We start from the raw sequence: 18,380 nt of genomic DNA on the forward strand, positions 1-18,380 counted from the left end.
AGACCTCATCTCTGTCTTTTAAAAATTAAAAAATGGGGCCGGGCTCCGTGGCTCACACTTGTAATCCCAGCACTTTGGGAGGCCGAGGCAGCAGATCACAAGGTCAGGAGTTCAAGACCAGCCTGGCCAATATGGTGAAACCTCGTCTCTACTAAAAAAGTACAAAAATTAGCCGGGTGTGGTGGCAGTCACCTGTAGTCCCAGCTACTGGGGAGGCTGAGGCAAGAGAATCGCTTGAACCCGGGAGGCGGAGGTTGCAGTGAGCCGAGATCATGCCACTGCACTCCAGCCTGGGTGACAGAGCGAGACTCCATCTCAAAAAAAAAAAAAAATTAAAAAATGGGCTGGGCACGGTGGCTCACGCCTGTAATCCCAGCACTTTGGGAGGCTGAGGTGGGTGGATCATCTGAAGTCAGGAGTTCAGGACCAGCCTGATAAACATGGTGAAACCCCCTCTCTATTAAAAATACAAAAATTAACTGGGTATGGTGGTGGGCACCTGTAATCCCAGCTACTCGGGAGGCTGAGACAGGAAAATTGGTTGCAGTGAGCTGAGATTGCGCCATTGCACTCCAGCCTGGGCAACAGAGCAAACCTCCATCTCAAAAAATAAAAATTGGCCAGGTGCAGTGGCTCACACCTATAATCCCAGCACTATGGGAGGCCGAGGTGGGTGGATCACTTGAGGCTAGGTGTTCGAGACCAGCTTGGCCAACATGGCGAAACCCTGTCTCTACTAAAAATACAAAATTAGCCAGGCGTGGTGGTGCATGCCTGTAATCCCAGCTACTAGGGAGGCTGTGGCAGGAGAATTGCTTGAACCCAGGAGCCGGAGATTGCAGTGAGCCAAGATTGCACATTGCATTCCAGCCTGGGCAACAAGAGTGAAAAACTCTGTCTCAAAAAAAAAAAGAAAAGAAAGAAAGAAAAAGAAAAAGTACTTCTCAGCGTAGGCTTCTGTGCCACTAGCAACAGAATCTCCTGGGGACAAGGTGGGAAACACAGATTCCTGAGCCCCATCCCATTGCTCTTATGCATATTAACCACCAACTCAGAGGTCTTAGAATCATCAGCAGAATACCTGAGTCACCTTTGCCTCTTCAATCCATCTCTAGGGACTGAGACTGAAACTGACCCAATAGTCCCATAGACTTTTTTTTTTAATAAACATAGAAATGGACCCTTTTGGTCTTAAAGCTTGAAACTTACATTTGTTTTATCTGAGTTCCTTCCTCAGGAAAGGACACTCAGGCCTCTCAAAAAAAAGTATCAGAGAACTGAAACTCACCAGATCAAGGCATCCAGACAACAAGATGCCAGAACCCACTTTCACCCTGCTTGCTTCCTTACTTCTCCCTAGTTCCTGTTTTTTTTTCTTTTTTTTTTTTTCTGAGACGGAGTCTTGCTGTGTTGCCCAGGCTGGAATGCAATGGTGTGATCTCAGCTCACTGCAACCTCTACCTCCCAGGTTCAAGCAGTTCTCCTGCCTCAGCCTCCCGAGTAGCTGGAATTACAGGTGCCCACCACTACACCTGGCTAATTTTTGTATTTTTAGTAGACCATGTTAGTCAGGCTGGTCTCGAACTCCTGACCTCGTGACCCACCCACCTCGGCCTCCCAAAGTGCTGGGATTACAGGCGTGAGCCATCATGCCTGGCCCCTAGTTCTTGTTTTTTTACACATTGTTACATTTCTTCCCTCTGTGTTAACTCTTAATTTTAGTCACTCAGGGAGATGGATTTGAGACTGATCTTCTATCTCCTAGGCTGTAGCACTCAGTTAAAGCCTTCTTCCTTGGCAATAATTGTCTCAGTGATTAGCTTTCTGTGGAGAAAGCAGCAGGACCTAGATGGAGGCCCTGGTGTTTCAGAAACAAGACCCCCTGCACTGCAGTGCTAGTTTTAGAAGCTCTCCAAGTGGTTCTAATGGAGTCAGTATGAAGACCCACAGGGAGGCTAGAGAAATACTATCTAGGCTTCCTGGATGGTAAGACTCTTCCAGGGCCCTTTAAAAACAAAACCAAGGCCGGGCACAGTGGCTCACGCCTGTAATCCCAGCACTTTGAGAGGCTGAGGCAGGTGGATCACCTGAGGTCAGGAGCTCGAGACCAGCCTGGCCAACATGGTGAAACCCCGTCTCTATTAAAAATACAAAAATTAGCCAGGTGTGGTGGCACATGCCTGTAATCCCAGCTACTCGGGAGGCTGAGGCAGGAGAATCACTTGAACCCGGGAGGCAGAGGTTGCAGTGAGCTGAGATCGCACCACTGCACTCCAGCCTGGGCAACAAGAGCGAAACTCGGTCTCAAATAATAAATAAATAAATAAATATAAAAATAAAAACAAAACCAGATTCCTGGACCCACACCCACCCCTGTGGATAATGATTCAGTCAGTTTGGGGTGGGGCCTAGTAATCTTTTCAATGCTTTTTTTTTTTTTTCTTTTAGCAAGCACTCAATTGATTCCTGAGATCTGGGGAGCTTGGGAAACTTAGCTGAGCTCCTAGGAGGATGCAGCAGCAGCTGAAGCCAGACAGAGGGGCTGAGATGTGCTATGGAAGGCTGGCCAAGGTTAAGCTCTGGTGCAGAGAACACAGGCCGCAGGACTCTGTTGGGAGGGAAATGATGTTCAGGGGGCCCTTACAGAGCAGCTGAGGGGCTGCCCTAAGGCTAGGAGTGTAGGCCTGCTTTATTATTTCTTAATAGCTAACACTCTAAAATGTTCTTGGGCTGGGCCGGGCATGGTGGCTCACACCTGTAATCCCAGCACTTTGTAGGGCTGAGGCAGGTGGATCACTTGAAGTTAGGGGTTTGAGACCAGCCTGGCCAACATGGTGAAACCTCGTCTCTACTAAAAAAATACAAAATCAGCTGGGCGTGGTGGCGCACGCCTGTAATCCTAGCTACTTGGGAGGCTGAGGCAGGAGAATTACTTGAACCTGGGAGGCGGAGGTTACAGTGAGCCAAGATCGCACCATTGCACTCCAGCTTAGATGACAAGAGTGAAACTCCATCTCAAAAAAAAAAAAGGAAATTCTTGGGCCGGCTGCAGTGGCTCATGCCTATAACCCTAGCACTTTGGGAGGCTAAAAGTGGTGAGGAGGCTCTTCCTCTTCCTCTGCCCCAGCTTGTGGGCGTCAGCCCTGGTATGGACCTGGCACCATGATAAAGGGATGCAGCCATGGTGAGGTATCTCCCACAGGCTTTAGGGGCATGAGACTTGGGCAAGTGGGCTTTGAAACAGGAGTGGGAGCTGGGTGTGGTGGTGCATGCCTATAATTCCATACTTTGCGGGGGCCAAGGTGGGTGGATCACTTAAGCCCAGGAGTTTGAGACCAGCGTGGGCAATATAGTGAGGCCTCATTTCTTTTCTTTTTTTTTTTTTTTGAGATGGAGTCTCGCTCTGTCACCCAGGCTGGAGTGCAGTGGCACGATCTCGGCTCACTGCAACCTCCACCTCCCAGGTTCATGCGATTCTCCTGCCTCAGCTTCTCGAGTAGCTGAGACTACAGGCGACTGCCACCACGCCCGGCTAATTTTCTTGTATTTTTAGTAGAGATGGGGTTTCACCGTGTTAGGCATGATGGTCTCAATCTCCTGAATGTGAGGCCTCATCTCTATTAAAAATTGAAAAAGAAAGGCCAGGCACGGTGGCTCATGCCTGTAATCCCAGCACTTTGGGAGGCTGAGGTGGGTGGATCACTTGAGGTTAGGAGTTTGAGACCAGCCTGGCCAACATGGTGAAACCCCATCTCTACTAAAAATACAAAAAATTAGCCGGGCGTGGTGGCTGGCGCATGCCTATAATCCCAGCTACTCGGGAGACTGAGGCAGGAAAATCATTGAACCCGGGAGGCGGAGGTTGCAGTGAGCCGGGATCACACCACTGCACTCCAGCCTGGGTAACAGAGTGAGACTCTGTCTCACAAAAAAAAAAAAAAAAAAAATTGAAAAAAAAAAAGTCAGCCAGGCTTGGTGGGGTGTGCCTATAGTCCCAACTACTGGGGAGGCTAGGTGAGAAGATCGCTTGAGCCTGGGAGGTGGAGGTTTCAATGAACCGAGATTGTGCCACTGCACTGCACTCCAGCCTGGGCAACAGAGCAAGATCCAGTCTTCAGACAAAACAAAACAAAACAAAAACAGGAAGTTGCAGCTAAGAGGCTGGGCTGTGGATAGGTAAAAGGACTGGCTTTACTGTTACCCCAGTAACTCTGGGGGGCACGTTGGGAGTAGCTAACCCATCCCTTTGCTTCTTAGGGACATGTTCAGAGGCTCAGAGACAGAAGAGGGCAGATCTCATAATTGACAGAGACTTCTGCAGTCTGAGAACACAGGGGAGACACTGGCCCTTGGTCCACCTCGGCCGGTGGAAGGTCTGACCACCTTGTGGCGATCCCATGATGGGTTCCACGAGCCCAGTGGAATTGTCCAGACTGAACGGCCAAAGTAGGAGGAGGCTGAAAAGACAGGGCGGTTTCTAGGGGTGAGAAGCCATGGGGTTAAAGGAGCCTGGGAACACAGTGCAGGGAAACATTGGAATTTAGGCTCCCTCCAAGCCAAAAATGGTACTTGAGTGGCCACAGGCAAGGGCACAGGGCCACCTCACACACTTGCAGTTTCCACACCACAAACACTCCTGGCCAATGCCTTGCTTGCTCAGTCCATGCTGGCGGGAGAAATCTTTCTTTTGTCATCTCTGGAGTGGGGATTGGAGACATCTGGGTTGTCCTTATGAGATCCTCAGGGTAAAGCCAGGCTTCTGGATTCTAAACACAGAGGGGTGGGCTGTTTCCAGTCTCATAGTAACAGCTGTGTTTTGAGGGATCTGTAGCTTTGTTTTTTGTTTTTTTGTTTGTTGGTTGGTTTTTGTTTTGTTTTGTTTTGTTTGAGACAGGGTTTCACTCTGTCACCCAGGCTGCAGTGCAATGGTGTGATCTCGGCTCACTGCAACCTCCGCCTCCTGGGTTTAAGTGATTCTCCTGCCTCAGCCTCCTGAGTAGCTGGAATTACAGGCAGCTGCCACCACATCCGGCTAATTTTTTTTTTTTTTTTTTGAGACAGAGTCTCGCTCTGTTGCCAGGCTGCTGGAGTGCAGTGGTGCAATCTTGGCTCCCCGCAATCTCCACCTCCTGGGTTCAAGCGATTCTCCTGCCTCAGCCTCCCAAGTAGCTGGGACTACAGGCATGTGCCACCACGCCCAAGTAATTTTTGTATTTTTAGTAGGGACAGGGCTTCACCATGTTGGCCAGGCTGGTCTTGAACCCCTGACCTCAGGTGATCCACCCGCCTCAGCCTCCCAAAGTGCTGGGATTACAGACGTGAGCCACTGTGCCCAGCCAGGATCTGTAGCTTTGTCTGGGAGCTCCCATCCATCTGGATGTCTCCAACCTTCTTGTTCCTAACTGCCCTGTCCTTGCCACCATGCTGTCTGAACTTGCTGGTATGCTGTCCTCCCTACACCCCAATGGTATGAGGTATCATCATTCCTCTATCCCCATCGTGCCTTCCTGCCTGTGCTTGGGCTGTTTTCCTTGCATGGGATTCCTTTTCTCAATAGATTCACCTGATAAACTCTCTTCCTGTCATATCTCTCTCTCTCTCTCTCAAGACTTAACCCAGCCATTGTCTCCTTCATGAAGCTCTCCAAGGCCACTCTCATGGTGTAAGGGGCCCTCTTAGGACTCCCATAACACCCTGGGCATTATTTCTAGCCCAGCACCACACTGCTTTGAAATGGGGTGCTTTGAGGTCTGTCCCCCAAAACGAGTCTGGGAAAGTAGCTCATTTTTCATAGTGCTGCAGAAATGGCTCAATATCCTCCCACCACCTCATCTTCCTTCCCGGCCCAGGGACACTGTCAGAGCCTCAGAAATTCCTCAGAATTTGCTCCTCTCGGTCCATGCCCCCAATTTGACCTGTTCCAGGTTATCATCTCTTTAACTTTTCCCTCCCCCATAAACATGGCGTCCACTGGACTCTGTGGACTCTGCTTGGTCTCTGGGGCACTCCTATTCGCTGACTATTAAACATTTACTATGTGCTAAACTCAACTCTTGTAGAGGTGTGAGGAGGGAATAAGGGACAGAAGATAAACCCAAGAACTATTTTTTTTTTTTTTTTGAAACAGAGTCTTGCTCTGTCACCCAGGCTAGAGTGCAGTGGCATGATCTCGGCTCACTGCAACCTCTGCCTCCTGGGTTCAAATGCTTCTCTGCCTCAGCCTCCCAAGTGGCTGGAATTACAGGCACCCGCCACCATGCCCAGCTAATTTTTTATTTTTAGTAGAAACGGGGTTTCACCATCTTGGCCAGGCTGGTCTCAAACTCTTGACCTCATGATTTGCCCCCCACACCGCCCACCTCCCAAAGTGCTGGGATTACAGGCGTGAGCCACTATGCCTGGCCAATTTTTAAAATTTCTATAGAAATGGGGACTCCCTTTGTTGCCTAGGCTGGTCTCAAACTCCTGCCCTCAAGTGATCCTCCCCTGCCTCGGCCTCCCAAAGTGCTGGGATTACAGGTGTGAGCCACTGCACTTGGCCCACAAACAATTTCAAATTAAATAAATGTATATCTGCACAGTCACTCATCTTACTTCTGGTGAGCATTATTTTTTTCATTTTTTTATTTATTTAAAAAACTTTTTCTAGACAGAGTCTCAGTCTGTTGCCCAGGCTGGAGTACAGTGTCACGACCTCTGCTCACTGCAACCTCCACCTCCCAGGTTCAAGCAATTGCTGTGCTTCAGCCTCCCGAGTAGCTGGGATTACAGGTGTGTGCCCCATACCCGCTGATTTTTGTATTATTAGTAGAGTTGGGGTTTCACCATGTTGGCCAGGCTGGTCTTGAACTCCTGACCTCAGGTGATCCACCCACCTCACACTCCCAAAATACTGGGATTTACAGGCATAAGCCACCACGTCCAGCCGCATGGGTGATTTTTGTATTTTTTTTAGAGACAGGGTTTCGCCATGTTGGCCAGGCTGGTCTTGAACTCCTGGCCTCAAGTGCTCTGCCTGCCTCGGCCTCCCAAAGTGCTGGGATTACAGACATGAGCCACTGCGTCCAGCCTGGGCATCATATTTTCAAGGAGAAAGTCTAGTACTACTAACTGCTAGATTTATAATTTTGTCTGATCCTCCTAGAGGGTATATGAAGACTCAGGCCCCACCCATGGAGGGTAGAACACACATTTGCTGAAGACTTTATGTGCTGGGCTGACTCAACTGGGCTGGATTCCAGGCCCATCACTGACTATGCTTCTGTCATTTCAACGGAGAGAAGAGGAAATGAGGATAAGTTCCAGAGGGATGCAAGGGTGAAGTGCACTCACAAAGGTCAGTCTCCAGGGTAGAGGGCACGCCCCACCCCTGCTGCCCTCCAAGGTCAGTCAGACTTCCAATGTCTAATTCTCAAGGTTCTGGCGAGTGGGCTCTCGGGACTGGGCTCCAACATCATCTTCTCCGAGAGGCCTGCCTAGATCCTCCCCTCCCTCAAACCAGATGTGGTCTCTCATTCTCTTCTGTTCACCAAAACAAGGTCTTGCCCACAGCAGGTAGATGTAGATCACATTCACTGGCTCACTCCTAAGGAACATGGTAGCCTGCCCCAGCTTGCAGCCTTCCAGTATGTCTAAGCCTCACCAGAACTTTAAATGACATCAGCCATGTACATGAATAAATACAGGAAATACCTCTTTCCTACTTCACTTCAGGAAATAGATACTACTGTGTTTTGTTAATTTCAAGCCACACTTTTTTTCCTCCACATTTTAACCTCTCTAAAAAGGGCCTGCACCTTCCAATGAGTGGGTAATGGGTACTCTCTCTTCCTTCCTTCCTTCCTTTCTTTTTTTTCTTTTTTTTTTCTGAGACAGGGCCTCACTCTGTTGCCCAGGCTGGAGTGCAGTGGCTTCAATCACAGCTCACTGCAGCCTCAACCTGCTGGGCTCAAGCGATCCTCCCACCTCAGCCTCCCAAGTGGCTGGGACTGCAGGCACATGCCACCAGGCCCAGCTATTTTTTTTTTCTATTTTTTTGTACAGGCAGGGTGTCATGTTGTGCAGGCTGGTCTTAAACTCCTGGGCTCAAGCAATCCTCCTGCCTTGGCTTCCCAAAGTGCTGGGATTATAGACGTGAGCCACCGTGCCTAGCCCAGATATTCTTTCTTAATGGTATATAAAATACTGCCACCTTTCCGTAGATGTCCTCTTAGATTTGATGAAATAAAGCATTATTCCTGTGTTATAGCTGAGAAATTATAGACACATGAGGTTAAGCCACTCACCCAAGACACAGAGCCAGTACATGAAAGGGCAAGGCTTTAAACTCAGGTAATGGAGGAGGCCTGGAATCCTCGGTGTCTGTGGTAGGCCATCTCCAAGACAGTCCCCAGTGATCCTAGCCTCCTGGTGTTCACACCCTTGTGTAATCTCCACCCCTTGAGGGTAGGCTGGACCTGGTGACTTGCCTCTAAGGAACAGAATAAAGCAAGTGATGGGTTGTCATGTTCTGGGTGGGAAAGTCTATGTACACGTATCCCCAAAACCCAAGGAAGCTGAGGCCAAAGAAAGCGGCTGACAAATTCGGTTTCTTAGAAAAAACATTTCTTTTTTTGTTGTTTCTTTTTGAGACGGAGTCTCGCTCCGTCACCCAGACTGGAGGGCAGTGGCACCATCTAGGCTCACCGCAACCTCTGCCTCCCAGGTTCAAGCGATTCTCCTGCCTCAGTCTCCCGAGTACTTGGGGTTACAGGTGCCCGCCACCATGCCCGGCTGATTTTTGTATTTTTAGTAGAGACCGGATTTCGCCATGTTGGCCAGGCTGGTCTCGAACTCCTGACCTCAAATGATCCGCCTGCCTTGGCCTCCCAAAGTGCTGGGATTACAGGTGTGAGCCACCACACCCAGTAAAAAAGAAACATTTAATATAGATTTAGGAACAGAAGCCAAGTCTGTGTCTCAGGCTGCAGCAAGACGTGATGGTGGATCCCCAGGCCATAAAGCCCCAGACCCAGGGCTTATATACCACAGGGCAGGAATGTGTAAGACAAGTAAAGTTGAGACCTCAGAGAAAGGCAAGAATGTGATATGAATCTGCCTATGGGTAAGATTTCTGGTAACAGTAGATAAAGTAGAAATCTTAGAGGCATTCCCAGAATGGGGGTTAATAAGAAGTCAACATGGTGGATTAGCATCCAAGATGGAGCTGCTCTGGACTCCACATGTCACTTCTGCAGTTAGGTCCCCAAAGATCCTGGCTTGTCTTTCTCGCCATCTCTTGCTCTCACTCGCTTGCTCTGATTAAAGCCAGCTGCCACATAGTGAGATGGTCTTTGGAGAGGCCCAAGTAGCAGCAATCAACCATCAACAAACAGAAGCCCTCAGTCCCACAATCCGAAAAGAATTGAATTATGCAAACAACCACAAGAATGAGCTTGGAAGCAGATTCACCCCAGAAGGACCTGGAGAAGAGTTGACTGTAGCCTCCGAGAGATCCGAGCCAGAGACCTGCTAAGCCACGCCCCCATTCCTGACCCACAGAAACCAGGATAATAAATGTGTGTTGTTTTAAGTCTCTAAGTTTTGGGGTAATTTGTTAGATAGCAATAGACAACTAACAGTCTCCAATATTTAATGCCAGTTATTTACTGTGTTGGGTCGTGGGGACATTAAGGTGTTCTTTTAGCCTTCAAGGGGTACCTAGTCTGGTGAGGTAAGGCAGACATGTGTGATTGTGTTACTGTGTGTATTGGGTCATTGGGTGGGCTGGAGAGGGGACTGCCTATCTTACACAGCCTGGAGGTGTCAGGGCAGGCTTTTTGGGGAGGTGTCACTCACAAAGCAGAATTTTGAAAGGTGAGTAAGAGCTTGCCAGTTGCTATAGTTTGAATGTCTGTTCCAAAACTCATGTCGAACTATAATTGCCATTATGACAGTATCAAGAGGTGATTAGGTGACTGGATTACTGCAATTATCAGGAAGTGGGTTCTTGATAAAAGTGAGTTCAACCCCCTCTTGTCCTTGCTCACGTTTACTTTCTCTTACCCTTCCACCTTCTGCCATGGGATGACATAGCACGAAGGCCCACATCGGAGGCTGATGCCATTCTTTTGGACTTCCCAGCCTCCAGAACCATGAATCAAATGAACAGTTGTTTAGAAATTAACCTGTCTCTGTTACAGCAACACTAATCAGCCTAAGATACCAGGTGAAGAAGGCAGAGAAGCAGTGAGGAGGGAAGGAGGAGAACACAGATTTTCTCCCTCTCCTCAGTGGATTTGGGAAGTTGTTTTAAGACTGCATCCTTGGCAAGAGGGTACTCCGCAGCTATGTGCTTGACGCAAGAGTGAGTGATTCATCCCACCACATCTCAAAAGTCTGTGAGTCAGCCAGTTCTTCCTGGGCTCAGACCTTTGTGAGAGTGGGGATTTGAGTTGACTACGTGTGTTGAAGTGAGGGCGTTGAAGATTGTGTAATGGTTTTGTTGCTTTTTAACCAGGGTCAGGATTGACCTTTGGTGTGTTGTCAGGGTTGAAATTAAAAGGTCTGGGTACAAATCAGAGCCAGTGTTTGGGACAGGCTGGGGCAGAAGGTCAGGGCTCCTTTTTTACATTCTCTTCACACTGGCCCTGTCATAGGTCCTCTGGGAGCTGAGCCTGGCAGATTTTAAGCAACCCTTCACCCAGGGAAGATTCAGAAACGGAGCAGAAAGGATGAGGGCAAGGCCAGGCCCTAGGGGACAAGGCTAGTGTGAGCCAAGAGCTGCAGCCAGCACTTCCCTGGCCCTGAATAGGGGTGCCCTCTGCAGTACCCCAAACATGGAGGAGGCAGGACAGCTGGCTTCCAGTCCTGCCTCTGCTGCCGAGTCTGGGGAAGGAGACCTGAGTGACTGAAGCATGGGTTTTTAAAGCCCGGCTGACCAGGGTGGCCGACCAGCTCTGCCACTTAGTGGGCATGCTCTCCAGCCAGGTGCTTAATCTCCCTGATCCTCAGTTTTCTGATCTATAAAATGAGATGACAATCCCCACATCATAGGACTATCATGAGGTTTAAATGAAATCTGTGAAGGGGTTGACTCAAAACAGTGGTTAAAACAAAAAGGAGCTGGGTGTGATGGCTCATGCCTGTAATCCCAGCTAGTCAGGAGGCTGTGACAGGAGGATCACTTGAGACCAGGAGTTTGTGACCAGCCTGGGAAACATAGAGAAACCTTCTCTCTAAAATAAACAAAGAAATACATAATAAAAATAAAACAAAAAGGAGCATGGAACAGATGTATGAGGTCCCTTCAGCACTCAAATTCTACCATTCTGAGGCCAGGCGTGGTGGCACACTTTGGGAGGCTGAGGTGGGCAGATTGCTTGAGCTCAGGAGTTCAAAACCAGCCTGAGTAACATGATGAAACTCCATCTCTACAAAAAATACAAAAATTAGCCAGGCGTGGTGGCACATACCCGTAGTCCCAGCTACTCAGGAGGCTGAGGTGGGAGGATCACTTGAGCCCAGGTGGTCAAGGTTGCATTGAGCTGAAATTGTGCCACTGCCCTACAGCCTGAGCAACAGAGTGAGACCCTGTTTCAAAAAACAAAACAACCATTCTGAGGAATCTGCTGGCCCAGCCCCAAGCTTCTTTCTCTTCCTCCTGTCTTGGGGGAAAGAGTTGCTGCCAGTAGTCTCACCTTTAGAAGCATCCACACTCATGATTTCATCTTATTTTTGAAACAACCCATTTTACAGGCTGGGTGCGGTGGCTCATGCTTGTGATCCTGGCACTTTGGGAGACCGAGGTAGGTGGATCATGAGGCCAGGAGTTTGAGACCAGCCAGGCCAATGTGAAACCCCATCTCTACTAAAAATACAAAAATTAGCCAGGCATGGTGGCATGTGCCTGTAATCCCAGCTACTCGGGAGGCTGAGGCAGGAGAATCGCTTGAACCCGGGAGGCAGAGGTTGCAGTGAGCCAAGATCGCGCCACTGCACTCCAGTCTGGGCGCCAGAGAGAGACTCCATCTCAAAAAAAAATTTAAAAAGAAACAACCCATTTTACAGATGAGACTGAAAGGATCTGCCCACGGCAGTGAATACCACTGATATGGTTTGGATTTGTGTCCGCACCAAACTTCATGTTGAATTGTAGTCCCTAGCGTTAGAGGTGGTTGGCTCATGGGGGTGGATTCTCGTGAATGGTTTAGCCCCATCCCCTTGGTGCTGTTTTCATGATAGTGAGTTCTTGTGAGATCTGGTTGTTTCAAAGTGTGTAGGCTGAGCACAGTGGCTCACGCCTTTATTCCAAACACTTTGGGAGACTGAGGTGGGCAGATCACTTGAGCCCAGGAGTTCAAGGCCAGACTGGGAAATATAGCAAGATCCTGTCTCCACCAAAAATACAAAAAATTAACTGGGCGTGGTGGCAGGCACCTATAGTCCCAGCTACTCAGGAGGCTGAGGCACGAGAATCACTTGAACCCGGGAGGCGGAGGTTGCAGTGAACCAAGATCGCGCCACTGCACTCCAGCCTGGGCGACAGACTGAGACTCTGTCTCAAAAAAAAGTGTACAGCACCTCCCGCCACGCTCTCTCTTTCTCCTGCTCCTATCATGTAAGATGCCTCATCCCCGCTTTGCCTTCCACCACGGTTGGAAGCTTCCTGAGGCCTCCCCAGCAGCAGAAGCTGCTATGCTTCCTGTACAGCCTGCAGAACCATGAGCCAATTAAACTTTTTGTCTTTATAAATTACCCAGTCTCAGGTATTTCTTATTTTTATTATTATTATTTTTTGAGACAGATTCTCTCTCTGTTGCCCAGGCTGGGGTGCAGTGGCGCAATCTTAGCTCACTACAACCTCCGCCTCCTGGGTTCAAGCGATTCTCCTGCCTCAGCCTCCCGAGTAGCTGGGATTACAGTTGCCCACCACTACACCTGGATAATTTTTTGTTTTGTTTTGTTTTGTTTTGAGACGGAGTCTTGCTCTGTTGCCCAGGCTGGAGTGCAGTGGCACGATCTCGGCTCACTGCAACCTCTGCCTCCTGGGTTCAAGCAATTCTCCTGCCTCAGCCTCCCGAGTAGCTGGGATTACAGGCACACGCCACCATGCCTGCCTAATCTTTGTATTTTTTCAGTAGAGACGGGGTTTCACCATGTTGGCCAGGCTGGTCTCAAACTCCTGACCTTGTGATCCACCTGCCTCAGCCTCCCAAAGTGCTGGGATTACAGTTGTGAGCCACTGCAACCTGGCCTAATTTTTGTATTTTTAGTAGAGAAGGGGTTTCACCATATTGGCCAGGCTGGTCTTGAACTTCTGACCTCAAGTGATCTACCCGCCTCAGCCTCCCAAAGTGCTAGGATTACAGGCATGAGCCACTGCTCCCAGCCTCAGGTCTTTCTTTATAGCAGCAGGAGAACGGACAAATACAACCACCAACTCACTTTGTTCGAGGGCTTGCTGTGTGCCAAGCCCTGTGGACCACATTTAATACGCACAACAATTACCCAAGTTATTTGTCCCTCTTACGAATGAAGGAGAAAAATGTGCCCAAGGTCACAAGGCTGCAAGGAATGAAGCTACAGTTTACCCAGAGGCAGTTGGTCCTCAGAGCTTGAGTGCTCAAGGATAGTGCTGTGCTGCTGGGACATTAGGGGCAGCGCTGGGCCTGGAAAAAATCCAGGCCTCCTGACTCCTAGCCTGGAGCCGTCCTGTTTCCTTCTGTTTCTTAAAAAAAAAAAAAAAAAAAAAGAAATTCTCCAGTATTGTATAACACATATACCATAAAGTTTACCATTTCAACCATTGTTGTGCAACCAATCTCTGGAACTCTTCATCTTATGAAATCTGAAAATTTACAGCCATTAAATTCTTCATTCCTCCCTCCCCCAGTGCCTGGCAACGGCCATCCTCCTTGCTGTCTTTGTGAATGTGATTGTTCTAGCTTGGAGCCATACTGATGCTTTTTTGAAAAATATATTTCTTTTTGAGACGCAGTCTTGCTCTGTCACCCAGGTTGGGTGCAGTGGCACAATCTCGGCTCACTGCAACCTCCGCCTTCTGGGTTCAAGTGATTCTCCTGCCTCAGCCTCCTGAGTAGCTGGGATTACAGGCGCCCGCCACCATGCCCAGCTAATTTTTTGTATTTTTAGTAGAGACGGGGTTTTACCATGTTGGCAAGGCTGGTCTGGAACTCCTGATCTCAGGCAATCTGCCTGCCTCGGCCTCTCAAAGTGCTAGGATTACAGGCGTGAGCCACCGGGCCTGGCCCAATTCTTAAAAGGCTGTCTCTGTTTGGTTGTTAAGCCATGGTGCTCAGTGTCAATGGATGCCGGGGCCATAGAGATTCAGAGGAGAACAAACTCTTCAGGGATGAGGTAGTCAGGGAAGCTGCCTAGAGGAGAAGGAGGAGAAGGAGGAGGGGGGAGGGAGAGGGGAGGGGAAGGAAGGGGGAGGGGAGGGGAGAAGGAGGGGGGAGGATGGGGGAGGAGGGAGGGGGGAGAGGAGGGGAGGGGGAGGGGAGGGGGAGGGGGGAAGGATAGGTGAAGGAGGGAGTGGCAATTTCCTCCCCTTGGCCTTCACTCCTTGACCCAGAAGGTGGGGAGGCAGTGGTGAGGTGACTCAGGGATGCTTGGCCCTGTGGCCTGCCCTTTGATTTATGAAAGCCACCTTGGCAGCACCAACCTTTGCCCCCAGTGATCTCTTGTCAGATGGGTGGAGGCACTGGGCCACCTCAGAGGGCCAGTGTCTTGCTGAGGGGCCGGAGCAGTCCTGTGCCTGCAGCCTCCGGAGCCATGGGAACAGGGCTGCGAAGTCAGTCCTTGCGAGAGCCCCGACCCTCCTATGGAAAGCTGCAGGAGCCCTGGGGGAGGCCCCAGGAGGGCCAACTCCGCAGGGCGCTAAGCCTCAGACAGGGGCAAGAGAAGTCCAGGTCCCAGGGCCTCGAGAGAGGCACAGAAGGGCCAGATGCCACTGCCCAGGAGCGGGTGCCGGGGAGCCTGGGGGACACAGAGCAGCTGATCCAAGCCCAGCGAAGAGGCAGCCGGTGGTGGCTGAGGCGGTACCAACAGGTATGGCTGTGGGCTGAAGGATGGAGGGTACCACAGCAGGTGGGCAGGGATTCCAGGGCAGGAAAGGTTCAGAGACAGAGCCAGCCCAGGCTGTGTACCAAGATGACAACCGAGCTGCCTGGAGATGAGGGTGCAGAGAGAGACACCCCAGAGCCACGTTTCAGAGGGCCCTGAAGGCATTTGGGATTTATCCCACAGGCACTGGGGAGCCACTGAAGGTTTTAGAGGAGGAGGGTGATATGGTAAGCGCTGTTTTTAGCTGATTGATAGTATGCTGGATGGGGGAATAGAGCAGGAGGCAAGGAGATCAGCCAGTGCAACTTCCTGGGAAGTACACTGTGTGACCCTCTCACCCCAGAGAAAAAGGGGAGATCTGGACCCCTTTGTGGGGGGCTGCAGGCTCCCTCCTCTAAGAGACAGGGTCTCCAATGAGCAGTGCTTCTCTACCTGGGGTCTACCCCCACCTCGTGGCTATGGGTGGAACAACATCTAAGCCCACCACTCAGCCCATGGGACCTCCCCCACCTCTGTCTTCCAGCAGGTAAGAAGAAGGTGGGAGAGCTTTGTCGCCATCTTCCCCAGCGTGACTCTGAGTCAGCCGGCCTCCCCGTAGCCCACACTGGGCACCATCAGCTAAAGATGCTGGAAGCCATCGTGGCCCCCTTGCTGTGCCTGGACCAGCCCACCGTGTCTGCTGACCTACCTCTTCACAGCTCTCTGGACTTTGGCTGGGTGGCCCTAGGAGGCTTCTGCCACCAGCTCACTGGAGTCGCCACGTGGCTGCCACTCTTAGCTCTGGCCCTTCCACTCCAGCACTAGCTCTCTTTGAAGATCCCAGCAGGGTCAAAAAGAAGGGGGCTCAGCTGTCTGCCCTCTGGGCTTGGGTAGGGGCCTTGGACTATGATTCTATGAAGGTTTAGAAGAAGCCTGCCCGGAATGGGGGCTGTGGACGCTCCTGCCCCACACGACCAGCTGTCAACTTCCAGGACGGAGCTTGATGAAGCCAGACCCATGGCCGAGAGGCTCACGGACGTTGCCTGGTCACTGGGCCATGACCCAACTGCCCTTCTTGTCAGTTGCTGATGGTGGGCCAGGGCGCAGGTCTCCCTCCCAGATGGTGAGCCCTCTGGGGCAAGGACCACAGCTGGGTGGCCCTCCTGGCTGAGCACTCTGTGCTGAAAACCTTTGAACCTCACGGTGTCCTGATGAAGGAAGCAGAGGAAGTCTTCCTCCCTGTGTGACAGAGGGGGAAACTGAGGCCCAGAGTGGGGAAGGGATTTCTTGGTTTTGACATCTCCGACCCCACCCCACCCCATCCAGTGTCCAGCACTGGAGTCGAACACAGTAATAAAGATGCTGAGAAAAAGTCAACGATTTGCCTGGTGACTAACTCGCTGGCTCAGACCCCCACCCCCCCACCCCTGCTGACCCCTGTGAGGCAGGCTAAGCCCAAAGCATCCCAGAATGCTTGGGCAGGGGCACCAGGGCCCGGGGCGGGCTGGATCCCCCACCAGGCTGGGCCTTTCCTGCCACTTCTCTGGACCTTTCTCCCCAGAGGGATTGTGCCCACCCTGTGCTGACCTCAAGGCCAGCTTCAGAGGACCTGGCTCTCAGTGTCCTGCCTCTGTGCCCACCCCACTGAGGTGGGGCTCCTTCTGAGGCTTAGAGAGGCAAGGGCCACACAGAAGGAGAGGGTCTGACCCCAAAAAGCCTGAGCTCTTCGAGAGACACTGGCACTTTTTGCAGGGCCCCTGGGGCTCTCCAGGCTCAAGCAGGCCCAAGGACAAAGGTGAGGGAGCAGCTAAGTATCCTGGTCCAGGATCTGTTCCGGGGGGTGTTGTCCAGTGGACAGAGGGGAGGCTTCCGTTTCCCCAGAGACCAGGCCCCATCAGGGCCATTCAGAAACAAGGGGGGAGCTGGGAAAATTTTCTTCCAGGAAGCCTAGGGTGCCTGGCTGGGAAGCTAGATGGTAGGAGCCCACCAGAAGCCTTGAGCCCGGCCGGTCTTATGCTTCAGATACCCTTCTCAGCTTCTTCTGCAGTAGTACCTGAGGTGCCTCTGGGGAACCCCAGGACTCCAGGGAACAGAATTGAAATTCACAGCTCTGACCCACCTCTCAGTGTCTGGAGGAGGACCTCTCAATGTTCCTCCTCAATGTCTGGAGGAGGAAAATGGCGCCCAGAATGGGGCAGGACTTCTCATCCTCCAGGACGCTGCCCTCCAAGTTTGTCCCAGCCTCTTTATCCTCAGAGAATCTCTAGCCCAACTCCCAGCAGTTCTAATTGTCACACTGACCAGTTAGTCTAGTTATGTGCTTTTTTATTTTCCTTTCTTTCTTTCTTTTTCTTTCTTTCTCTTTCTCTCTCTTTTTTTTTTTTTTTTTTGTCTAGTTATGTGCTTTTTTTTGAGATGGAGTCTTGCTCTGTCACCCAGATTGGAGTGCAGTGGCATGATCTTGGCTCACTGCAACGTCCGCCTCCCGGGTTCAAGCAATTCTCCTGCCTCAGCCTGTATTCTCCTGCTTCATCCAAGTAGCTGGGATTACAGGCGCCTGCCATCACTCCTGGCTAATTTTTCTATTTTTAGTAGAAATGGGGTTTCATCATGTTGGCCAAGCTGGTCTCAAACTCCTGACCTCAGGTGATCCGCCCTCCTTGGCCTCACAAAGTGCTGGGATTACAGACATGACCCACAGTGCCTGGCTTTTTTCTTCCATTACACTGAAAGTTCCACGGAAACCTGGTCTGTTCACTACCAGGACCCCAGTGCCTAGCTCTGGGCCTGGCACATAGTAGGTGTTTAATGAATTATCATTCAGTGAATGAGGGACTGGCCCAAGGTCACCCAGTGAGTTGATGGCTGAACTGAGCCTGAGTCTCATGGGTTTGGGGGGGTCCTGTTCAGACAGAGGAATTCTAGCCTTGTCAGCAACCCCATCAACAGGGACCACATCTCTGGGGTCCTTGGCTGAGGCCTCCCCCAAACATTCACACACTCTGGTAGGTAGGTTGCTTCCAAAGATGTCCATAACCGTCTCTCCCATCACATCTCCCCCATGCATTGTCTTGTCACACCTCTCATCTAGAGTGGAGTCTATGGGGGGCCAAGGTAGGAGGATCTCTGGAGCCCAGGAGTTCCGGGATGCAGTGAGATGTGATTGTGCCACTGTACTACAGTCTGGACTAGACAGCAAGATCCCATCTCTTAAAAAAAAAAAGTGGGATATATTTTCCCTTTCCTTGACTCTAGATGGGCCGTGTGACCTGCTTTGGCCAATAGAATGCATTGGAAATAATGTTCTGGGACTTTGCCACCTAGGCCTCAATAGG

The 18,380-nt window shown here is 50.8% G+C and overlaps 1 protein-coding gene across 2 annotated transcripts, besides 1 other annotated feature; it reads left to right on the top strand.

Moving 5' to 3' along the window:
* Positions 14,717 to 16,422, top strand: C11orf86 (chromosome 11 open reading frame 86). 2 transcript variants are annotated; one of them, NM_001353554.2, is made up of 2 exons: positions 14,717 to 15,051; positions 15,590 to 16,422. In NM_001353554.2, the coding sequence occupies exons 1-2, from the start codon at positions 14,776 to 14,778 to the stop codon at positions 15,662 to 15,664; spliced, it is 351 nt and encodes a 116-aa protein (NP_001340483.1). In that variant the 5' UTR covers positions 14,717 to 14,775; the 3' UTR covers positions 15,665 to 16,422. The 2 variants fall into 2 exon arrangements, with proteins under 2 accessions (NP_001340483.1, NP_001129957.1); NM_001136485.3 differs by having other exon boundaries at positions 15,593 to 16,422.
* Positions 15,398 to 15,901: an enhancer, noted in NCBI's record as "H3K27ac-H3K4me1 hESC enhancer chr11:66743456-66743959 (GRCh37/hg19 assembly coordinates)". NCBI's record gives its function as "activates a minimal SCP1, AML or CMV promoter by ChIP-STARR-seq in primed H9 embryonic stem cells {active_cell/tissue: H9 hESC(primed)}" and the evidence as "EXISTENCE:reporter gene assay evidence [ECO:0000049][PMID:30033119]".
* Positions 16,423 to 18,380: the final 1,958 nt, after the last annotated feature.

The sequence above is a fragment of the Homo sapiens genome, chromosome 11 (genome assembly GCF_000001405.40).
Source record: "Homo sapiens chromosome 11, GRCh38.p14 Primary Assembly".
NCBI classification, from domain to species: domain Eukaryota; kingdom Metazoa; phylum Chordata; class Mammalia; order Primates; family Hominidae; genus Homo; species Homo sapiens.